The sequence below is a fragment of the Homo sapiens genome, chromosome 7 (genome assembly GCF_000001405.40).
Source record: "Homo sapiens chromosome 7, GRCh38.p14 Primary Assembly".
In the NCBI taxonomy this organism is placed as follows: domain Eukaryota; kingdom Metazoa; phylum Chordata; class Mammalia; order Primates; family Hominidae; genus Homo; species Homo sapiens.
The window spans coordinates 90,950,906-90,973,047 of NC_000007.14; the positions used below are offsets into that span (position 1 = coordinate 90,950,906).

General features: G+C 36.5%; 1 protein-coding gene across 4 annotated transcripts in view; it reads left to right on the plus strand.

Moving 5' to 3' along the window:
* Positions 1–22,142, plus strand: part of CDK14 (cyclin dependent kinase 14) — a 614,270-nt gene that overhangs the window by 354,585 nt on the left and 237,543 nt on the right. For all 4 annotated transcript variants that reach the window (NM_001287135.2, NM_012395.3, NM_001287136.1 and 1 more), the window contains one exon: positions 4,792–4,912. In NM_001287135.2, the coding sequence (NP_001274064.1) occupies positions 4,792–4,912 (121 nt within the window). The remainder of the gene's footprint in view (positions 1–4,791; positions 4,913–22,142) is intronic.

Consider the following 22,142-nt stretch of genomic DNA (forward strand, 5'->3'; position numbering starts at 1 on the left):
TTGGTTGTTTATTGATACATTATAAAAGCAGCAATAGAGTATCTTCAAACAGTGTTACCACATCATAAGATATTTAATATAGTATAAATCCTGTAGGAGGGAGAATATTCCATTAAAAAATTATATCAAAAATGAGATTCTTGGCCAGTCTTTGGCTGTGGAATGGGAATGAAATCCAAAAGCCTTCACCCCGTGGACTGATTCATGGAATAGAGAAGGCCTCAAGTCTTTCCCTTCCCAGTGTAACTGTCTTATGGTAAAATATTATCCAAGCATTTTATGTCTGTTTGGAGTCAAGTGATAAAGGAACCTTTCTCCTAGAAATATTGATTTTGTGATTAACTAAGAGCAAGACTTTTTTTTTTCTGATTAATTTGGGGAGTAAGGTGTGTTGAGAGAGAGTTGTGGGAGTTGCTCTATAATATAATATGAAACCACTGACCAACACAAAGCTTTGGCCCATTTTCTGGAATGACTCTGAAGTAATGAAAGATACTATTTCTATACCGTATTTTTGTTGACTCTGCAAATTCAGCTAGATTTGCTGTTATTAATTTCACTTAGTTAGAAAGGAGTAAGTCAGTGTTGCCACTTCCTTCTCAATTCTTTAGTCAAAGCAAAGGAATGGGAATGATCATTTCTGAACCTTATCCTAGGTTCAGCAATTTTCTCCATAGAGTTAAAGAGATTGCTTAAATCCCTAGCCAATTTTACCACCTACAAAAAAAAGGATGCACTGGAATTTGAAGGAATAATTAAATGTACATGGAATATAAGTTCTAGTTTACATCTGTGTACAGCTAAAAGAAAAGAACCTTGGCTGTTTTTGGAACTTGAAACAGTTACTAGTAAAGTGCATTTGCTCCTGGACTCTTTTGGTGTATTCTCTGTATTAATTCTGGCTGGAGTTATATTGAGTGCCTGTAGGACATCTAGCACCTATGCCTAGTAAGGAATTACATAGAACCAGGTCTGAAGCCCAAAGACAAGTATAAGCTGGAGGTAAAATCTTGGGAGAAATCATCTATGGATGGCAGTTAAAAAACTCAAAATAAGGCCCAGTGACCTATAAAGTGTATATATTTGAGAAAGCACTGGTTTGAGCGTATGTGTATATAACCATAGGCAAAACCAGCATTTAAGGGGCAAAAAGGGGTAGGTCCCAGAAGGAGACCAAGTCATTCCTGGTTAACTATCCTATATCTGAGAAATAAAGGGAGAAAATGTAGAAGAAAGGGAGTGGTCAGCAGAGTCTAATGCAGCAGAGGCTGTTATGATGAGGCCTGAAGAGTCTCCATTGTTTGGTGCTGAATGGCTGGTCTGCGTAGGGAAAATGTCGGGAGCACTGTCCCGTGGTTTATTCTGTGTCCATGCCAGAGGGTAGAACCAGGCTCAGGGTAGCAGCAGATATTATCTATAAGATAACCATCTTATAGAGATGTGAGGAGGAATTTTTTTATTGGATAAGAGGTTAGCTATAAAGCTTCTTAACTCCTCCAGAAATCCAAGATTCTGCTATGCTAGTATCAGGGTAGCTCAACTTTGAATCATTGGCAGTAGGGCTTGAATAGCAGGATTATCCCTTTTACTCTGGGGTCTTTCATTAGTTAGAAATGTCAACACTGTAAAGTTGGATACACTGAATTTTATGCAAGCCATTTTAGGTGCCCATCGGAATTGTACCCCTTCATGAGCACACACTCAGCCAAAGCAGCAACGTGCATATAACCTGCACTTGTCTGGTTAGCACTTTGCTTTTTGTCTTTTAAATCAAACTAAACATTAATATAAGAAGTTTTGATAATAATCCATGAACTGCGTCTTTTTTAAAAGGTAGTGTAGCTCTGTTCCTGTAGTGTAACCATAGCAACTGACAAAGAACAGAGAAAGAAAGCTTTCACACATGCTGTGCTAATTAATCCTGTCCTACAGTTTTCTTTCAACTGAAGAATGCAGTTTAATAAATTTTGCATGAGTAAGCATGTTTTGATGCATGAACTGTATAAACATATAGCAATATCTTTACCAAAAATATTTGTTAAAAATGTAGTTATATATATTTATACTTCAAAGTCTCTTTCTCTCCTCTTTTGTTCATTCTTTTCTTTCTCTTTCTTTGCTTCTTTTTGTCTTTCTTTTATTTTTATTTTTTGAGTCATTGTTTTAATGATTTTCTCCCTTCCTGAAAAGTTTTGGGATTTTCTTATCCTATTAACCAAACAGACATTTTTAGGGTAAAAATTTTTTGTTCATCAATATAGAGGACACTTTCTACAATAAATTGTTTTAATTGACTGTGTTCAAATGAGATGAGAGAATTTTTCTCAAGCAATGTAGAATAATGTATCTTAAAAATATAATAACATTCTTCACTCTGACACATTTACATGCAAACCATTTTAAGAGACTCAGTCTTAAGCTTTGAAAAGTTAGATATTGAAAGTTATTTTTACTGTTATTTTGGGAAGTTATGTGGCTCATCTGAATAAAATTGGAGTAGTCTTTGGCCTAAACATGTGGGAAAAAAGACAGTAATGTAGATAAAGCACTTTTTTCTATTTGTAGTTTCCAAAAATATTTAACCAGTCTAGCAAACTCATATTCAGAGTGAGCATAGTTGATCTGAAATTACATGTGGTTATTTTGATTTATACTACTTCTAGATTATTTTGAGGTCTTATTTTCCCCTTTACAACTGGGAACATCACAGTTTTTTTATAACTAGCCTGGTCTGAGCTGTCAATGAAAATCTTCAATTTTTTTTCATTCTCTCATCCTTCTGGCTTAGCTTTCTGACAACAGGGCCTCAGGAAAACCAAGAGAATCAAGCTGGAATGTTTGTAGCATCCCATTTGACTTGACAACAGCATATGGAACAAGTCAGAACCTATTTCAGGACTTGTGCCTGGCTCTTTAGTCTCCATATGGAACCATAGGCATTTGAGGAACCAACCCTTTTGATGGGGTTACCAAGTTCTGGAGACACTTTATCATCTTGATTGTCCTATCTATTGTTCAATTTTGCCTGAATTAATGTAGGATAAAACCTTGCAGAGGAAAGAAGGAAGAGGTTGTTATAGAAATCTATTATCAAAAATAATTACTCCATTCATGTGGAGAAAAATTGGGGACCAGGAATGTGTAAGTATGTCTGTGTGGTATAATCTGTACATTTTAATATGGAATACTTGTAAATATCAACCAATTTATAGTATACCATTGCATTATTATTAAAACTGACTGGTAGAAAAAAATTAGGGCACTGTAACCATGGCTGAATTAATTAGAAATTCTTTGTCTTACCAGCTGTCTTATTAACTTTAAAATTTACATATAATACTGAAAATGGAATGCTACATTTAATAAATAAGAAAAAGCCATTTCCTTACTACATAAAAATTTTTAAATAGAACATTAAAATGAATATGTTATGGTAGGTTCACTGTAAAAATGTTTTAAGTGCTATAAACATAACAGTAAATAATACTTTATACTTGTCACTAATGAATACAGCTAGATAGAAAGCTGTCACACAGGTTTTTTTCTTTTAAAAAATGACATCTATAGATTTTGTGATTTTTAAAATAATTGCACATTCATTCCACAAATCTTGGGAAAACACTCAGAAAAACTTACTAAAAAATAAAGATAATCCCATATTCCAGAGGTAACCACTGAAGACATTTAAATGTATTTTCTGCCAAACTTTTTTCTTTTTTTTTTTTTTTTTTTTTTTTGAGACGGAGTCTCGCTCTATCACCCAGGCTGGAGTGCAGTGGCGGGATCTCGGCTCACTGCAAGCTCCGCCTCCCGGGTTCACGCCATTCTCCTGCCTCAGCCTCCCAAGTAGCTGGGACTACAGGCGCCCGCCACTACGCCCGGCTAATTTTTTTGTATTTTTAGTAGAGACGGGGTTTCACCGGTTTAGCCGGGATGGTCTCGATCTCCTGACCTCGTGATCCGCCCGCCTCGGCCTCCCAAAGTGCTGGGATTACAGGCGTGAGCCACCGCGCCCGGCCCTTTTTTTTTTTTAGAGGGAAAAAAAAACAGACCTACAAATATTTTTTCTGTGCATGAGTATTTATGGTTATGAGGTCAAATTGCGTATACCTTTTCACTTAACATCTTCCCAGTTTAAAAAAATTCTTAGAGGACATTTTAATTTATCATATATAATCTCATCAATGTATGTACCAGATTTGACTATTCCTTTATAGTTATTTATTTAGATGTTTTTTCAAAAGAGCTTCTGCAATAAGCATTTCCTAGTGAGTATTTGACAGAACACTGAAACCACAAGAAATTTTAGGACAATTCTTTGGGGAAAGTATTATACTCTCCTCTTGCAGATTCACAATACGCATTAGAACAATTAAGAAAACTGAGAAGTTTCACAATTTAAGGATTCTTTAAGTTTCTAAATCTGTTTTTTCTCAGTTATTTGACCAAGGAACCCTTTCTCACAATACTTATAAATCTGAAAAATTCAAGAGACTTCTAAGCTCCTGTGTTATGATAGTTTGTGAATTATTTGTTTACTCTGCTGATATTTTATTAGATTCATGACATCAGTGCTTTATTAGGAAATAGAAATGTTTTAATGGTTATTAGCATGTGTTAAAAACAGAAACCACAATATGCTTTCCCCAGTTTTCTATTAACCTTGATACTGCACTCCTGATTCTGTATTAAAAGGTCGGGTTTGACCTTTAAGAATGTGAACGTTCAAATTTAAATTCCCTTGTTTTGCTAATGCCTGTTAAACTTCTTTATGTTTCATATAACCCACAGGTCTTGCAAGAGCAAAATCCGTCCCTAGCCACACATACTCCAACGAAGTGGTTACCTTGTGGTACAGACCTCCAGATGTCCTTCTAGGCTCAACAGAATATTCCACCTGCCTTGACATGTGGTGAGAAATGGAAGCTTTACTCTAGCTAATCTATCTGTAGTGCTTGGTCTGGGTCAAGCCTAGACAAACATCCTAACAGTTTGAATGAAGATTAATGGTGCAGGAGTGTTTGCCTGCATGTGGCCATGCTGCTGGATGTTTTAAAACATGATTGGGAATGTTCTCTAATTAGAGTCTCCTTTGCAGATGCTGTGTGGTAATGGTTCTTGATGGACAGGGGCAGAGACATTTTTCTAACTGTCAGTATCATGATTTTTCTCTCCCTAAGAGTCTTAATTTGTGGCTGTATCTTATAACAAGGGAAGTATGTATCTCCAGACGGCAACAGGATTGGAGTAGCAGGGAGTATGTTTAAATTTGCAACAAAGCTCTGATGAGTGGTCTGAAAATTTTGGTGTAACTGTTAGGCACCAGTTTGACTCACAGTATGTACTTGAAAACTTCTGACACTAGTTATCCAAAATGAAATAAAATGACTACTTTTAAAAAATATTATATGTTTAATTTTAGGTCTCACTTTCACAAATGCTTTAGCAAAGCTTAAAAATCTATTTTATGAGGTCCAATGACTGTCAAGATTTAATTCATAATTAGCATTAATGATAAACTATGCTGAGTTCCCAACTAAGTGTGATCCAAATCAAACAATCAAATAAGGGAATAATCTAATTTTTGGCATGAAGGACGGACTGTTGAACATATCTTTTATTAATAAAATAATTTCTTTTCAGACTCACAGTTGTGTCCAAAGTAAAACAATTTACATAGCACATGGCTATTTTTTTATTTTTATGTATTTATTTATTATTATTATACTTTAAGTTTTAGGGTACATGTGCACAATGTGAAGGTTAGTTACATATGTATACGTGTGCCATGCTGGTGCGCTGCACCCACTAACTCTTCATCTAGCGTTAGGTATATCTCCCAATGCTGTCCCTCCCCCCTCCCCCCAACCCACAACAGTCCCCAGAGTGTGATGTTCCCCTTCCTGCATCCATGTGTTCTCATTGTTCAATTCCCACCTATGAGTGAGAATATGTGGTATTTGGTTTTTTGTTCTTGTGATAGTTTATTGAGAATGATGATTTCCAGTTTCATCCATGTCCCTACAAAGGACATGAACTCATCATTTCTTATGGCTGCATAGTATTCCATGGTGTATATGTGCCACATTTTCTTAATCCAGTCTATCATTGTTGGACATTTGGGTTGGTTCCAAGTCTTTGCTATTGTGAATAATGCCGCAATAAACATACGTGTGCATGTGTCTTTATAGCAGCATGATTTATAGTCCTTTGGGTATATACCCAGTAATGGGATGGCTGGGTCAAATGGTATTTCTAGTTCTAGATCCCTGAGGAATCGCCACACTGACTTCCACAATGGTTGAACAAGTTTACAGTCCCACCAACAGTGTAAAAGTGTTCCTATTTCTCCACATCCTCTCCAGCACCTGTTGTTTCCTGACTTTTTAATGATTGCGATTCTAACTGGTGTGAGATGGTATCTCATTGTTGGAAGTTCTGGCCAGGGCAATTAGGCAGGAGAAGGAAATAAAGGGTATTCAATTAAGAAAAGAGGAAGTCAAATTGTCCCTGTTTGCAGACGACATGATTATATATCTAGAAAACCCCATTGTCTCAGCCCAAAATCTCCTTAAGCTGATAAGCAACTTCAGCAAAGTCTCAGGATACAAAATCAATGTACAAAAATCACAAGCATTCTTATACACCAACAACAGACAAACAGAGAGCCAAATCATGAGTGAACTCCCGTTCACAATTGCTTCAAAGAGAATAAAATACCTAGGAATCCAACTTACAAGGGATGTGAAGGACCTCTTCAAGGAGAACTACAAACCACTGCTTGAGGAAATAAAAGAGGATACAAACAAACGGAAGAACATTCCATGCTCATGGGTAGGAAGAATCAATATCGTGAAAATGGCCATACTGCCCAAGGTAATTTACAGATTCAATGCCATCCCCATCAAGCTACCAATGACTTTCTTCACAGAATTGGAAAAAACTACTTTAAAGTTCATATGGAACCATAAAAGAGCCCGCATCGCCAAATCAATCCTAAGCCAAAAGAACAAAGCTGGAGGCATCGCACATGGCTGTTTTATAATAGGAGTCATTTTCCCTGAATGATTATGCCCCCATATGTAGAATTCCACTGTGTATTCATATAATTTTATGACCTCAGTAAAACTGCAGTATGTGTTGTTTATCTTACTGTTGTATACTTACTTACTTCAGTGCTCTACCCCCCGTAATCTTGGCTTTTCATAAATTGGCCTGTGATGAGGCCTGGCTTCTTTCCTGATGTTTTTGATCCAAAAACGTTATGGTGAGAAAACAATCAAGTTTCTCATGATCTAGGGCACAGTGCAGATTTTTTTATGTTCTAGCAGCCCTCCCTAAGAATGAGATTTAGGGATTTGTAAAGCCACTGAGGATACCTGCAACATTTTGTGTACATGAGAACGTATTTATTTTTATTGAAGTGTAGCTCTAAAGCTTTCTAGTAGAGCTACAAGAAAATCAGATAATCATACAGATCTGTTGTCATAAATTTTGTAACATCTTGTAATAAATCTAATACCATTTTAATGATATTCTAAAACACTGAGACTAAAGATGATCATCTGTCATTAAGGGGCTGAGCTAATCTATTTTGTCACACTTCCTGGCTTTTTTGGGGGGATGGTTGTTTACACAGTTAGATCTTTTTTTCCCAACACAGGGATTTGGGTAAAATAGATATTTACATAATTAGTGTAATGGCAGAAAAAGTTGAAAATAAAGGCCAATGAATGCATCAGGATATTAGTTACTTTCTCATCCCTTTCCTACTTCCTGACTTATAGTTGGCTCTGCAGATATTCATTACTTAAGATTCTTGTGTTATGGGGCTTTTTCTCTATTTTTTGAGTATGGAAATTCTAGGTTGTCTTTCAATGAGGTCAGTTAGGGACTCTGCTAATAAAACATTGGTTGGAAACATCTGTGGCTTGGAGCCAGTTTTTGTCTTAGTTGCTTGGTAGTTCAGTTAAGATTCTACCCTCAGAACATTTTTTACATACTAGTGGCTAATTTTTCCCAAACCTTTAAAAGCACCAAGAACCAAATGGACTGTGACATAATATGTGTGTTTCTGAGGTGTAGCTCAGTATTTGATTTCCAGCGTGTGCTACTTTTTCTTGCCCGTGTGTCACTTTTTCTTCCTCGTGTGTGTGTGTTCATTCTCTCAAGGAAGATAGCTTGGACACTTTCTGCCAATTTGCTTTGAACAGAGACATAATGGAAGCACAAGAAGAGTAAGTGGAAAGGAGGAAAACTGATAGAAAATAGTAGACCCCAAATGCCCTTTTGTCTACGTGCCAAGATTATTCATTGCCAGAACCAAATAGCAAATGTGTTATGTCTGAACAGCTTCCCATGCTTACTGGCTCTTCACTTCCAAGCCTTAAAATCTATGTTATATCTATGGTACACCTGCCTGTCTGAATCTGATTTCAAGCCATTTTCTAAAAGCTATCTTGTTATTATCCTATAAGTCAAATAAAATGTGTTTTTCCAGTTAGAAGTTCACAGGCACTGATTTTTGCATAATCAATGACATTGATGCTGGGTATTGAGAGAACTAGAAATGGGACTATAATTGAGTCATGGCTCAGCTGCAGCAAAGAGAAGTGCAAATATTAACCCATGGAGAATAGCAGGGAGGCAGGTGGCAGTAGTTTCAGGCTTTCTTACAGTTCATTTATCAGCATGGGGCAGTAAGGTAGTAACTAAAAACTAATGATCCCTATACAGTGTTACATTTTCCAGTTTTCTGTTTAAATAGCCACAGGAAATAAAAAAATGAATGAAGACACATATGCATTATCATTTGTCAGCAAGTGATGGAAATCAGAGCTGGCCGTGTTACGATTTCCTCCTCCAGGTCTCCAACACTTGCAATGAACAAACAACCCTGTGTGATTTGGGAACTCATCAAGATAGATAGTTTTTGATACTTTTATGAAAATAGATAGTTTTTGATTGTTTTATCTCCCTCTGTAAAGGAAATTTTAAGCAGAGGAATCAAATTGAACATTTCCTTTGTATAACTTCTCTTAATTTTTGGATTTATAACTCTGTGAAAGTCAAGGCATAGGAAATCATTGCTAAGCTTCTAAACCAAAAAGGCTTACTAAGTTTTGAAAGCCACATTAAGAGAAGTGCAGATGTAGCAAGCAGCTTATCTATGTAGTTCTTCCCTTGCTAGGAAGCTCTGCTCAAGCTGTTGAGGTCATTGTTCCAAATAAGCTTTATATTCCTCTATAGAGGAATATAAATTTTTAAAATAGGGTTAATTTTTAAAATAGGGTGACTAAGTCACCTGCAGCAAATAAATGATTATCTCATCAAGACCACAGTGCTTTGGGGGTGGGTAAAATATATAGTAGCACTACCCTGAGGTATCAACTACAGTACTCCCCAACACCCCAACAGTGTATGAAGAATGATAGCATGCCAGTCTCTTCCTTTCATCATCTTTTAAAAAGCTAATTAACATATTAACTATGCTTGTCAAAATGTGGGGCAAATCATTTATAAATAAGCCTGTCAAATGTAATGAGATTGCATATTAAATCATCCGTTTCTCTATTACATCTCTGATTTAAGATTAAAATTAATTTATTTAACATTGTAGCAGCTGGGTGGTTAGAAAAAATTTCCATACCACTCTTGATATATAGAAAAATGTCCACATCAAAATTGATTTCGCATATGTTAGAAAAGAAATTGCCTGTTTATTAAGTATTGAAAGGCCATTTAGCATTGCTTTTTTATTAAATAAGCCTAATCACCATACATATTGGCAGTGTACAAAGTTCTGCCATTATCTTTAATGATCTTTCTTGAGCCAAGGAAATGTATATAATAAAATAATGTTTCTTAGGATTTAGGTTTATTTGCTAATGTTTTAAGGTAGAGAATCACAAATTAGCCCTACCATAGCCCCTACTTTGAAAATAAATTTGTTCTATATGAGGTCCTGTGGTTTGATTTGAGACTTGAGTAATAATAATAGTAACAGCAATAGGTACTTCTATTGAACACAAACTGTATTCTGAGCCCTGTTATGCATTTTAATTACTTACCTATTTTACCATGATACAGTGAAAGAAAACCAAACCCAGAGATACTAAATAATATGGGTAAGGTCTTGCAGTTAGTAAATAGAGCACTCATTCAAACTCAGAGATAACCTACTCCAAGCCCTTTCTTTTTACAAGACACTACATAATCTCTTAAGATGATTTATTTAAAATTTGGTCTTTATTTTACCACTAGAGCAACTCCAAAACACAAATACAGCAAAACATATATTTTATAATTTAGGTTATACTCTGAGTCATGTCCTTTGCATAACTAAAATATAGTGGGTGTCTTTCACTCTCACTCAACAGTCTTTGGACTGTTTTTCTCTCCTGACATTGTTTTAAGACATTTTACTATACAGTTTTATGCAAGGAAGAGTTTTTTAAAAAAAATAAACCAAGGAATCCCTGGATTGAATACATTTTCACAGGACTAGTACTTATGCTGGCATGTATTAATATTTTCCCAATTCCTAGCCATTACTCATTTATTACTTTTGCTAAAATGAATGAGTTCATTTTAAACCAAAGGATAGTAAGAATGAGAATTTGAGTTGATGAGTTATGTTGAATCATCTATCTGTCAGCACTGTTTGTACTATTTCTAATTAATCAGGTCATAAGACCAAGGAACATATGAATTAGTTACTGTCAAATGTAACACCTCTTTAAGAGTTCTTGAGAACTGCTCAAATAATGCATGATCCAAGTGACTTGTTGGTGTAGCCAACGAAATGCAATGCAACATAACAAAAGAACTGGGGACAGTCAGAAGGGCATCCAGGAGATTGAAGCTGATGGTTTCTAAGCCCACTCTCACTACGGAAGTCCCTTAAAATTAGGATGACCCTGTATTTTATTATTATACCAGGACACCATTGAGAGTTAATAATTCTGCCAGGATAATAGGTGTAAAACAGAGATAATTGTGACATGTGGTCACCTTTCTCATAACGCACTAGAGCAATAATTTACTAAATACTACTAATCAGAATAGACTTAACACATTTGAGTGTTTAATTCACACTAAGGACTACTGATTACAAACTCAAATTCCTTGTTACAAACTTAATGTTACATTGCCTAATACAAATTATCTCTGTAAGTACAGTTCTCTCATATTAGGTTATTGTGGCATTTTAGAGTGGCTACTAAAGTGCCGAATTTAGTGATAGCTTTGGCATGCTGAAAGGAAGCACCTCTATTTTTATGTCAAAAATCTAGTGTGGGGCTGGGCATGGTGGCTCACAACTGTAATACCAGCACTTTGGGAGGCCAAGGCGGGTGGATCACCTGAGGGCAGGAGTTCAAGACCAGTCCCATCAACATGGTGAAACTGCATCTCTACTAAAAATACAAAATTAGCTGGGCATGGTGGCACATGCATGTAACCCCAGCTACTTGGGAGACTGAGACAGGAGAATCTCTTGAACCCGGGAGGCAGAGGTTACAGTGAGTTGAGATCGCACCATCGCACTCCAGCCTGGGTGACAGAGTGAGACTCCGTCTCAAAAAGAAAAAAAAAAAGTCTAGTGTGGTTATAGTTTTTATATTCCATTGTTGTTTATCGGTGTGTATGTTTGTGAGAGAGAGTATATGTGTGTTTTCAGTGCATATGCTTGGTCATTTATTGGCAATAAATTAGCTGAATGATAATATGTAAAATGAGGCATTGTTCACTACCAAATATTTTTAAGAACAAATAAAAATTTCCCCATTTTAAATCAATGTTTGCAAAATAATTGGCTATCCACAAACTGGTTTTGGGGTGATTTTTTAAACAGCCAATCACAGAGACTCAGTTTCATGACATTATTATAACCCTTGGTGCATTCAGCTGCCTCACTGGTTTGTGAGAATAACAAGAGATGGTTACATGTAAAATTTTTTAAGAAATATAAAACTCCCCAAATGTTGAGAACAGTGTTCTTATCAACTCTTAGAACGTCAATCAGCCAAGCTAAATATACTGCATTTCTATTGGGGTACAGCATCCAAGGGTGCTATGGGATATATAAAAGCTGCTCTATTTGGTTTTAGGGAAATTAACATACTGCCTGTGTCTTGAGAATCAAAAATAATTTTTGGCCCAGGATATTCTCATCTTAAGAGTGTGTGTGTGTGTGTGTGTGTGTGTGTGTGTGTGTGTTTTAATTTAGAAATATATAGGCAGGAGTGTTGGCTTACACCTGTAATCCCAGCACTTTGGGGGCCAAGGTGGGAGGATGGCATGAGGCTAGGCGTTTGAGACCAGCCTGGGCAACATGCTGAGATCCCATCTCAGCAAAGTATAAAAGTTCAGTTACCATGGTAGAGTGTGCCTATAGTCCCACAGGAGGCTGATGTGGGAAGACAGCTTGAGCCCCAGATTCAAGGCTGCAGTGAGCTATGATCACACCATTGCACTCCAGCCTGGCCCCAAGAGTGAGACCTACAAAAATAAAAAATTAAAAAAAAATAGAAGTACATAAACTAGTATTCAAATTTTAGAGAACATTGGATGTGCACTGGTGCTTTCGTGTTGTAAGTTGTGTATTTATTCATGTAGAAATCATTTCTCTGAACATTATCAACCTAAATAACAAAAACGGAAAGGGAGACTCTCTAAAAGAAAATGATGTTTATTCAGAAACAGGCATTGCAGTGGGAATATATGTGCCGTAATAAATTATGTGCGTATTGAGGGAGGTGAAGGAAGACAAAGGTTTTTTTTTTTTCTTTTTTCTTTTTCTTTTCTTTTTTTTTTTTTTTTTTTTTTGAGACGGAGTCTTACTCGGTCACCCAGACTGTAGTGCAATGGCGCGATCTCAGCTCACTGCAACCTTCGTCTCCCGGGTTCAAGAGATTCTCCTGCCTCAGCCTCCTGACTAGCCGGGATTACAGGCGCCCACTACCACGCCTGGCTAATTTTTGTATTTTTAGTAGAGATGGGGTTTCACCATGTTGGTCAGGCTGGTCTCGAACTCCTGACCTCGAGATCCACCTGCCTCGGTCTCCCAAAGTGCTGGGATTACAGGCGTGAGCCACTGTGCCTGGCCGACAAAGGTTTTTAAAGGAAAATTAGAAGAATTACATAATTGTTTTATGATAATTATCCTTGACTACAAAGATCAGTAACAAGCGTCATGGCAGTCTGACATTGGGCAGGCAGATGTCTTCATAGAAGTATGTTTTGTGTATAAGGTTGCAGTGGCCTTTGTGCAAGGCTGTGTTTTTTGCAGCCTTTTGTGATAGTTTTCATATATGAGAACCCTTCCTTCGTGGCCTTCCCCAGCTCTGTTTGTCAGGGGTTTTAACACAAGTGACTCCATTTTGATTGTGATAACTTTGACAAAATGTAACTAGCAGTGTTTTGCTTTATAAAGGAGAGTCATTGTTATAGTAGAAAACATATGGAAAACCTAGGTCAGCTTCCCTCTGCCACTTCTTAGCTGGGTGACTTTAGTTGAACAAGTTCCTTAGCTACTCCTAGCTTCAGTTTCCGAACCAGAAAACTGTAACAATAAAACCTATTTTAAGTATAACCTATAACTAACATACCACAGCAATAACAATAGAAAAACAGTGATCTTCTGCCTCATCCATACCCACCCTTTAATCCTATTTACCAGAAGCAACTACTTTTAACTGTTTGTTTTTAATTATTTTTTATTTATTTTTACTTTTAACTCTTTTAGACATGGTATTTTACTTCTGTCTTAAATTGCTTATATTGCTATTCATTGATTTACTATTTTCGACACTATCTACTAAGTAGGTATTATGGTAGATGAGGATTTAACTTGCTTCTGTCAACCTTACTTCATTATCCTAATTTAGAATCTATATCACGTCTTAGAACATTAATATATAAATATTATTCATGCTTAAAGTCAGGTAGTATTTATGATGATATATTTTCTTGTATAACCTTTTGCTTTTCCTGGACTTAATAACTGTCTGTGATTCTTATTAGTTGTCTTTGCTCTTATGACTAATTATAATTGTGAAGAATTTATCAATTACCTATGAAAACATATTTTTCAAATTCTCAAACACAACAGCAAATCTATCAGTTCCATTTACTTTTTTTACGTCTCCTTTCCTCAGCCATGTTCTTGAAACTTTCCTCTCTCGGCTTTCTGATTTCTTGGCTTGGCACAATGTAGCATTTCTTATCTCAGACTTCATTTGCTCCCCACTCATCCCCATCCCCACTTTGTCTCTGCATGGTGTTGTAGGTCCTAAGATGGTTATTCTCTGTTCTCTTCCTAATCTCTTCCCCACCCTCTTCTGTCCTGCCCTGTGTCTTACTTCGCTGACCCCTAGGGAATTGCATCCTCTCAGCTGCCATCACTCACTGGTTTCCAGCTGGGTTCAGGCAAAAACAAGTGAGAGGAGAGAGTGACTGTATACTTTTCCCTAATTCTTCTGCATGTTAGACCATGTTTCTGGAAATGACTAACTACAACTTCTTTGGGGAAGCTTCTCTCCCATAGCACTAGTTGTCAGTAGACACTAATAACACTTAGGTCTTAGTTGGAGAGGGAGTCATGGCTTCCTGCTGTTGCTAGAATCTGAGTATTTCTGTATGTCTTATTGGTTCCCTTATAGCTCTATTCGTAGTCACTTCTGGGTTGGATCCATTTTCCTTCTGGAGTGTCACTGACTGCAGATTCCCTTTATCTGGATTCCATGTCTTCCTCCTTTAGGTGCATTAGAAGAATGCATACATTAGAGATACAGTTTTCAAATTCTTAGTATTTTGAAAACGCCTTTATTCTACTCTCACAAATGATTGATGTTTGGCTAACTGTATATCATTAATGATAATGTATAACTTGAATGTTAATTTTTTTCCTCAGAATTTTCAATACATTGTTTTATTTCCCTAGAGCTTCTGGTATTGCTGCTGAGAAGTGTGATTCCATTCTCCACTTCTCGATCATTTGTGTGCCCTCTCATACTTCCTCCCTGGAGGGAATTGGGTTCTTCCCTCTATCCCTGGTATTCCAGAATTTCATGATGATATTGCCTTGGTAGTATCTTTTTCTATTGGTGCTGGGTAAGTTTCCTTCAAGATAAAGAATAACGTGTTTTAGCTCTTAGAAAACTTCTTGAATTTCTTTTTTAAAAAAATGATTTCTTCCATCCTCTCTGTCGTCACTTTCTAGAAAATTTGTATTACTTTGATATTGGAACTCCTTTCTTAATCCTCTATTTTTTAAAGTCTTTTATATAACTTTGTATCTTACAAACCTTCTATTTAAAAAAAAATCAGCTTCCATATATAAAATTGTTCTTGCTTCCTTTCCTTCTGATCTGTATTTCTTCAAACACGGGGATGGGGACATTTTTTGGCTTTTCATTTACTTTTATACATTAAGCACTATAAATCTATACACTTAGAAGGGCCCAATTAACCGGTCAGTTCATTGTATATTGTTCATGCATAGAGCTAAACTTCTGGTTGGGAGATCCTCAGATGTCAGTATCTGAAGGCTTTTTCTTTGTTCCTCCTCATATGCTGATTACAGGCAGCTGACATCCTCAAAGCAGAGTGGAAAGGGGAGCTGATGGTCACATAGATCAGTAAACATGTTTTTCACACTTGATTTCCCTTTTTTTCAGCTCAGTGCCTCACCCTGCTCTCTTCTGCAACTTTTATCTTCAATTTGAGGCCTCCTGGGTTTAATGTCATCTACCCTGCTGGTGTGTGTTTAGGATGAGATGAGGGATAGTCAGAGAAGACCTATGAGGCTAAAGTTTGCTCTTCATACACATTTTCATTTCTCCCCTCTATCTCCAGCTGTCAGACTCAGCTTCACACTTTTTACATCCTGAACTTTTTCCAAGTTGCTGTAGGTAAATAATCTGACTATAACTTGAAGCTGTAACTCACTGCCTGTGGTCTGCCTAGATTGTCATGTCTTCATCTACATCTTCTCAAAACAGGTTACCTCTCAAGTACTTGTGCCTTCTCGTAGAGTTCTTTTATCCTTGTTTAAAATTTTATTTCCTAACTGACACTTTGGTCACTTGGGAGAAGACAAATGCAGCAATGTTAGTGAGTGCTGCTTGAGGGCAAGAACCAGGTCTTTCTCACCTTGAACGTCTTGATATTATGTAAGGTTGTCCAGAAGGAAGGAAAGGAGGGAGGGAGGAAGGTGGGAGGGGAGGTAGGGAGGTAGGGGGAGAGGGAGGGAGGGAGGGAAGGAAGGAGGGAAGGAAGGAAGGAAGGAAGGAAGAAAGGAAGGAAGGAAAGCAAGCAGGCTGGCTCATATTGTATAAGGAGGGAATTAGGTTCGTATTGTATAAGGATCTTTATAGGAAGGGAGCTGCCCTAATTCTAGAGGTGTCTAGAAAGGGAGATCTATGCACGTTTTACCACATGCCCTGCTTTTGTTGATTATTTAATATTTGTGACTTTAACTATGAACATTGACTACTAAGGGTCTTTGTCATGTAGACATTTGTGATTTTCCTGGGGCACAAATTTAACTTGCATATGCTGATGAGTGGGAGCTGATTAAATAGCGTAGTAATGCAGGCAGGAAACTCGTGACTGCTGCCATCTTAGTGTGGTGGTGGTTTATAATCCCTACCATTTAACTCTCAGTGAAATAACAAATTTATGAAAACCAACCTGAAAAGAAAGCCATACACTGGTTGATGAGATAGTGATGCAAGTTAATAAAATGTGAGGTCATAATTCTTTAAAAAGATAATAATTTTACATGAGTGGATTATAGAAAGTAGTTCTTTGGATCTGTGGGCTGTATGAATCCAAAAAAAAGCTTGCTGTTAAAACCAGCAAAAGTAGTTAGTGAAGCATTTTCAACAAGTGTTTAGGCAATAGAAAATTTCTAATCCAGTGAAGGTGAAAAAGTGGATCATTAACTTATATGCACAGGAAAGACATGATTGAATGGAAATGGGATTGGAGAGAAACTAGGAGCCTCTATAAATGTCATTGTGTGACAATAGTTACTAAAGATGCCTACCAGAATATTACAAGGATATCTACTTCATATTGCTTACTGAAGGATGGACGTGGAGAATTCTGTGCTTGTTATGACAATTGTGAATTAATTCTTCAGTACTGCATTACCTGGAGGTTATTTTAATTAACAATCACAGTTTCATTTGCTGGTATTTTGCTGTATGAATTACTATAAGTTAAATATTTTGGTGGCTTTCTTAATTTTAGATGCTATATTATGTAATTGGTAAACTTAGATGTTTGTGGGTTTTTAAAAAAAATTTATTCTTCAAATGTTGTATCCTTAGATTCCTGTTGGTAGATGTCATTAGAAAAAAAGAAAAGAAATAAAACAATAGTTGAAAAAGAACTAAACTTGAACTCAACTAAAACGACCTATCAGTGTCCAAGAAACATCCTGCTAAATTTCATTAAAAATAAAACAAAACGTATTCATAGTATGTGACAGTCGCTTAGTAATTACTAATGACAGAATCCGAGTAGCTTCCTATTTTCCTACACCCATGTGGGTTGCTCATCTTTTACTGTGGCGTTTTCTATTTCTCTGTATTTCTGTGTGAGACAATAGATTCCAAGAGTGGGATGTTTATATAATTGAATTTTCAGTTGAGCTTGGCAAAGCTTTTCTCATTTTTTCTGATTGATAATTTAAATGGTTCTTCCTTTATTGTTAGCTTTTACCATGTTTGTTTTTGAATACTTAATATATTCATAGCCTAATGGAAACCCCAACAGATTAAAAACTTTATTATAGAAATAAATAAATTTCCATCTATTTGTGACCATTTTATAACCTCTGAAATTAGAGGTGTTTGTTTTTGTTGTTTGTTTTTTCTCACACACTGGGTGTGGTTGATGGTAACAGAAAACAAAAAAAAAACAGCTCTAGAATCTCAGGGTAGCTCTCTTCCCACAGAAATCTCCCTTATACCTTGTGAGCCACTTCATTTATTCATTCAGCAAAACATTACAGAATGTCGAGAGGTGCAAGGTGAGAAGGACCTGGTTCCTGCCCTCGAGCAGCACCCACTAGCGCTACTGCATTGTACAACCCCAAAGGCATCATTCAAGTTGTAATCTATGTGCAGTGGCCAGACTGCAAAGCTACATTCCAGGGCAAATATTTGAGAATATTCCAAGAAGCCCACAGACTTCACCAAAAAAATGGACCCTGTTAATCTGTACCGGAAAGGTTTTTGCCTTTAGGTCTTGCATCTATTATCTCAGATATTAGGTTGTTGTCAAATATTTTACTGTAAAATATCAATCATCCAGTCATATATCTTAGTAGTGCCCATTTCAGCATTCTTACCCATAGTCCATCAAAGTCTAGCTATGCCATTTGATGACTGGAACTAAATATATCAACTTAACATAGTGTAAATTGAAGTTCAGAATTCTCCTTATAGTAGGATAATTTACATGAAGGTTTTAGCAGTGATTTCTCTTCACGATATGCCACATGAAGTTTCTTGAAAAAGATTGCTTGATGTGTCTTTTGCTTTGATTTTTAAGATAATTACCCATGAATAAATTTTTCCTAATTTCCTACATTATTGCATAAGGATTAATACATTTGCAGAGAGAAGCCTTAAAATATGACTTCCTTGTTTTGTATCAGCTGTCATATAAACAGAAATTAAAGATGTGCAAGGCTTATTAATTTGCTTTTTTCTCATTCTGCCTGGACTATGCTTATTCCTTAGAGAAGGGCCGTTATTGGTAGAGTTTTAAATGAATTATCAAATGGAACTTCTCCTTTCATTGTTCCATAATACAAGAAATAATATTTATCTGCTATTTCTTGTCATATTTTTCATTTTTCTTTTTTTTCTTACAGTAGTCCTCGGTGAAGGCATTTCCTATTTATATTTTTATACTAATTGTGGCTGGTTGCTGGATGTTACCAGTCCAAATATTCCTTGTTATCTATGTAACCTGGAGTTATTACTTTAAGACTCCATCTCTAGAGTCTTCATTATCCATAGGAGTCTGTGTTGAATTTTTAAGCTTTTTTTTTTTTTTTTGAGATGGAGTCTCACTCTGTCGCCCAGGCTGGAGTGCAGTGGCACAATCTCGGCTCATTGCAACCTCCGCCTCCCAGGTTTAAGCGATCCTCTGCCTCAGCCTCCTGAGTAGCTGGGATTACAGATGTGTATCACCATGCCCAGCTAATTTTTGTATTTTTAGTAGAGACAGGGCTTCACCATGTTGGCCAGGCTGGTGTTGAACTCCTGACCTCAGGTGATCCACCCGCCTCTGCTTCCCAAAGTGCCGGGATTAAAGGTGTGAGCCACTGTGCCTGGCTGAATTTTTAAGCACTTTTTAAACACAGCCAACATCATATTTTCAGTGCATTAGCAATGATGGTAGACTTCAATTTTATAGGATAGTTTTACTGTGTTCTTTGCCAAAGCCTCTAATTTTGAAGATTTTATTTTGATTTTGTCTTTATCTTTGCTGGCATTTGTGTCACCTGGGAAGAAATCAAAGTTGCCATCTCTATTTGCTCTTTTTTAACCTGACCAGGCTGACCAAATAAAGACAGGTTTTTCTGACTGCAGAGGCAGCATAGCATAACAAAGAGATTGCTGACCCTGGATTCAGGAGATGCAGTTTCTGATTCTGCTACCTACACTAAGACATTTAAACATATAATACAGCTTCCTTACATGTAAAAATCAAAACATTGTCTGAGGCCTTCTCAAAGGTACCTTTATTTCTAAATTTTAGCATTCAAGTAAATTGTACAGTGGAGCGAAAGGTTTCCATGGAGACTGCTGGAGTTCCTTTGGAGTCTCTTAGAAATGAAGTTAGAGTTCAGGTATTTTGGTGAAATTACTGAGTTGATTTTTTTATTAGTGTTTAATTTCATAGGATAATATTAGCTCTAAATAAAATGCCTTTTTCTGTTGCAGTATCTTGTGTGTACTCCTCAGACTAGTTTATGCAATTCATTCATTTATTCCCTCATTTTTTATTATTATTATACTTTAAGTTTTAGGGTACATGTGCACAACGTGCAGGTTTGTTACATATGTATACATGTGCCATGTTGCGCTCATCAACTCGTCATTTAGCATTAGGTGTATCTCCTAATGCCATCCCTCCCCGCTCCCCCCACCCCACAACAGTCCCCGGTGTGTGTCCATGTGTTCTCATTGTTCAGTTCCCACCTATGAGTGAGAACATGTGGTTTTTTTTTTTTTGTCTCGTTTTAAAGATAGTTATTGAACACCTATTTTGTACAAGGCAGTTTGTGAGATCTTGGAACTGAAAAGATGAGAAAGATGTATTCATGCCTTCAAGGTCACAGGGAAAGACAGTGTGATGAGCCATAACACAGGTATATGGTTAGTACAGTGGCAGCTCAGAGGTGAAGGTGATAAATTTATCCTCAGTGAATGATTAAGGGGATCAGGGGAGGCTTCACCCGGTGGTAATTACTCTGCCTGACTTCTCAAAGCCATCTTTCCAAGCTAACAAAGCTAGGTTTGAAGGACGTGTACATCATGCCATGGACAAAGACTAACAGCTGAAATATCTGGTGTTTTGTAGATAGAGATGGAGGATAGGATTTCAGAAGCATTCAAAAAGGATGGTAAGGAGGAAGAGAGAAAGTGTTTGGAGATCAGATTGTAGAAGTATTTAGGAATACTTAGGATGTAGACAACTTGATGACTGCATATACATAGTAAAAAAAAAAAAAAAAAAGGCAAAAGATTTCAGATGATTCCTGGGTTTCTGGATCTGGTAACTGGACCAGACAGCAAAAATACAGCTTTGCCATTTCATTAAAAAATAATAATAAATGTACATAGTAATTAAAGTGTATGAACAAAAATTATCATTGGAACATAAGGAACATTTATGCTGGTTGGCACTTTAAGATTGTTGGGCTTCTCAGTCTTCCGTGTTAGTTTTATTGCTGATGTAGATCCTAGTAAGAGGATTCTAATCACTTGCCTGGTGCCTCCCTCCAAGTCAGCAGCAGGCCACCCTGGGCCTTGAGTCTACTGAACTACATTAGCTTAGCTTCCTGTACTTTATTTTTTACTTTTGTTTTTATTCTGATATGCTTAATTTGTAAGTACAACTTCTTAGAGATATAATTTTGTTTCATAGTTGAAAAATAAATATTATAGTTTCCCATTATATTAAAAGTTTATTGTTTTGAATCAAATATTTTCTAAGATGGGCTTTTACCCACAATCCAGGGTTATATTTTCATTCCTTAAGAGCAAAGTACTCCATAGAAGTTCTTGACTAAGATATATTGTGCCTATCTGTGCCTAATGAAGCACTAACCACAGTAAATGATGAGTGGCAGTTTAATCAATTTGGTTCCTTCTGTAGTCACCAAGGGCATGCAGAATGTAATTTTTTAGTCTTTCACTTTTCAAATACTGCAAATGCCAAAATGAAAAGATTAAGTCTGTTATATGTAATAAATTTTCTTTTAGAATACAGAAAAAGGTCACTTTTTAATTTTCATCTTTTTGAAGCTGACCTCCTAGGGAAGAAAACTCTTTGTTCTATTTTACATATATATACATTCCTTCAGAGAAGAGTAAGATAAATAAATGGCTACCTTGGTGCATCAAATAGTTCTAGCTTTAATTGCATAATGGTTTATTTCAGTGAACCATGGCTAAATAAAATTTCCTATTAGGTTAATTAATGTGGAAGCATTCTGAGTTTGTATTGCATCCCTGTGTGTTAAATTTAGATTATGTTTTGCATTTAATCTAACTTATTTCAGTGATCTGTTTCTTTGTTGTTCCTTTGGCTGGAGCTTGAATATATGTTCAGAGAATTGATCTGAGTTATAAAACTCCATTCAAAACAGAATTACCCAAATTCCTTTACATTATCGCCCCTCAGTACCTGATTTTGAGAACAGCAGCATCAACATGGCTTGGAAGCTTGTTAGAAATGCAGGATCTCAGGCCTCAACCCATACCCAGTAATTAGAATCTGAATTCTAAGAAGATCTCCATGTGGTTAGCATACACATTAAAGGATGAGAAGCACTGCTTCAAGTACTTTTTTTGGAAGGATACATAGGATTTGAGGAAATTTCCGATGCC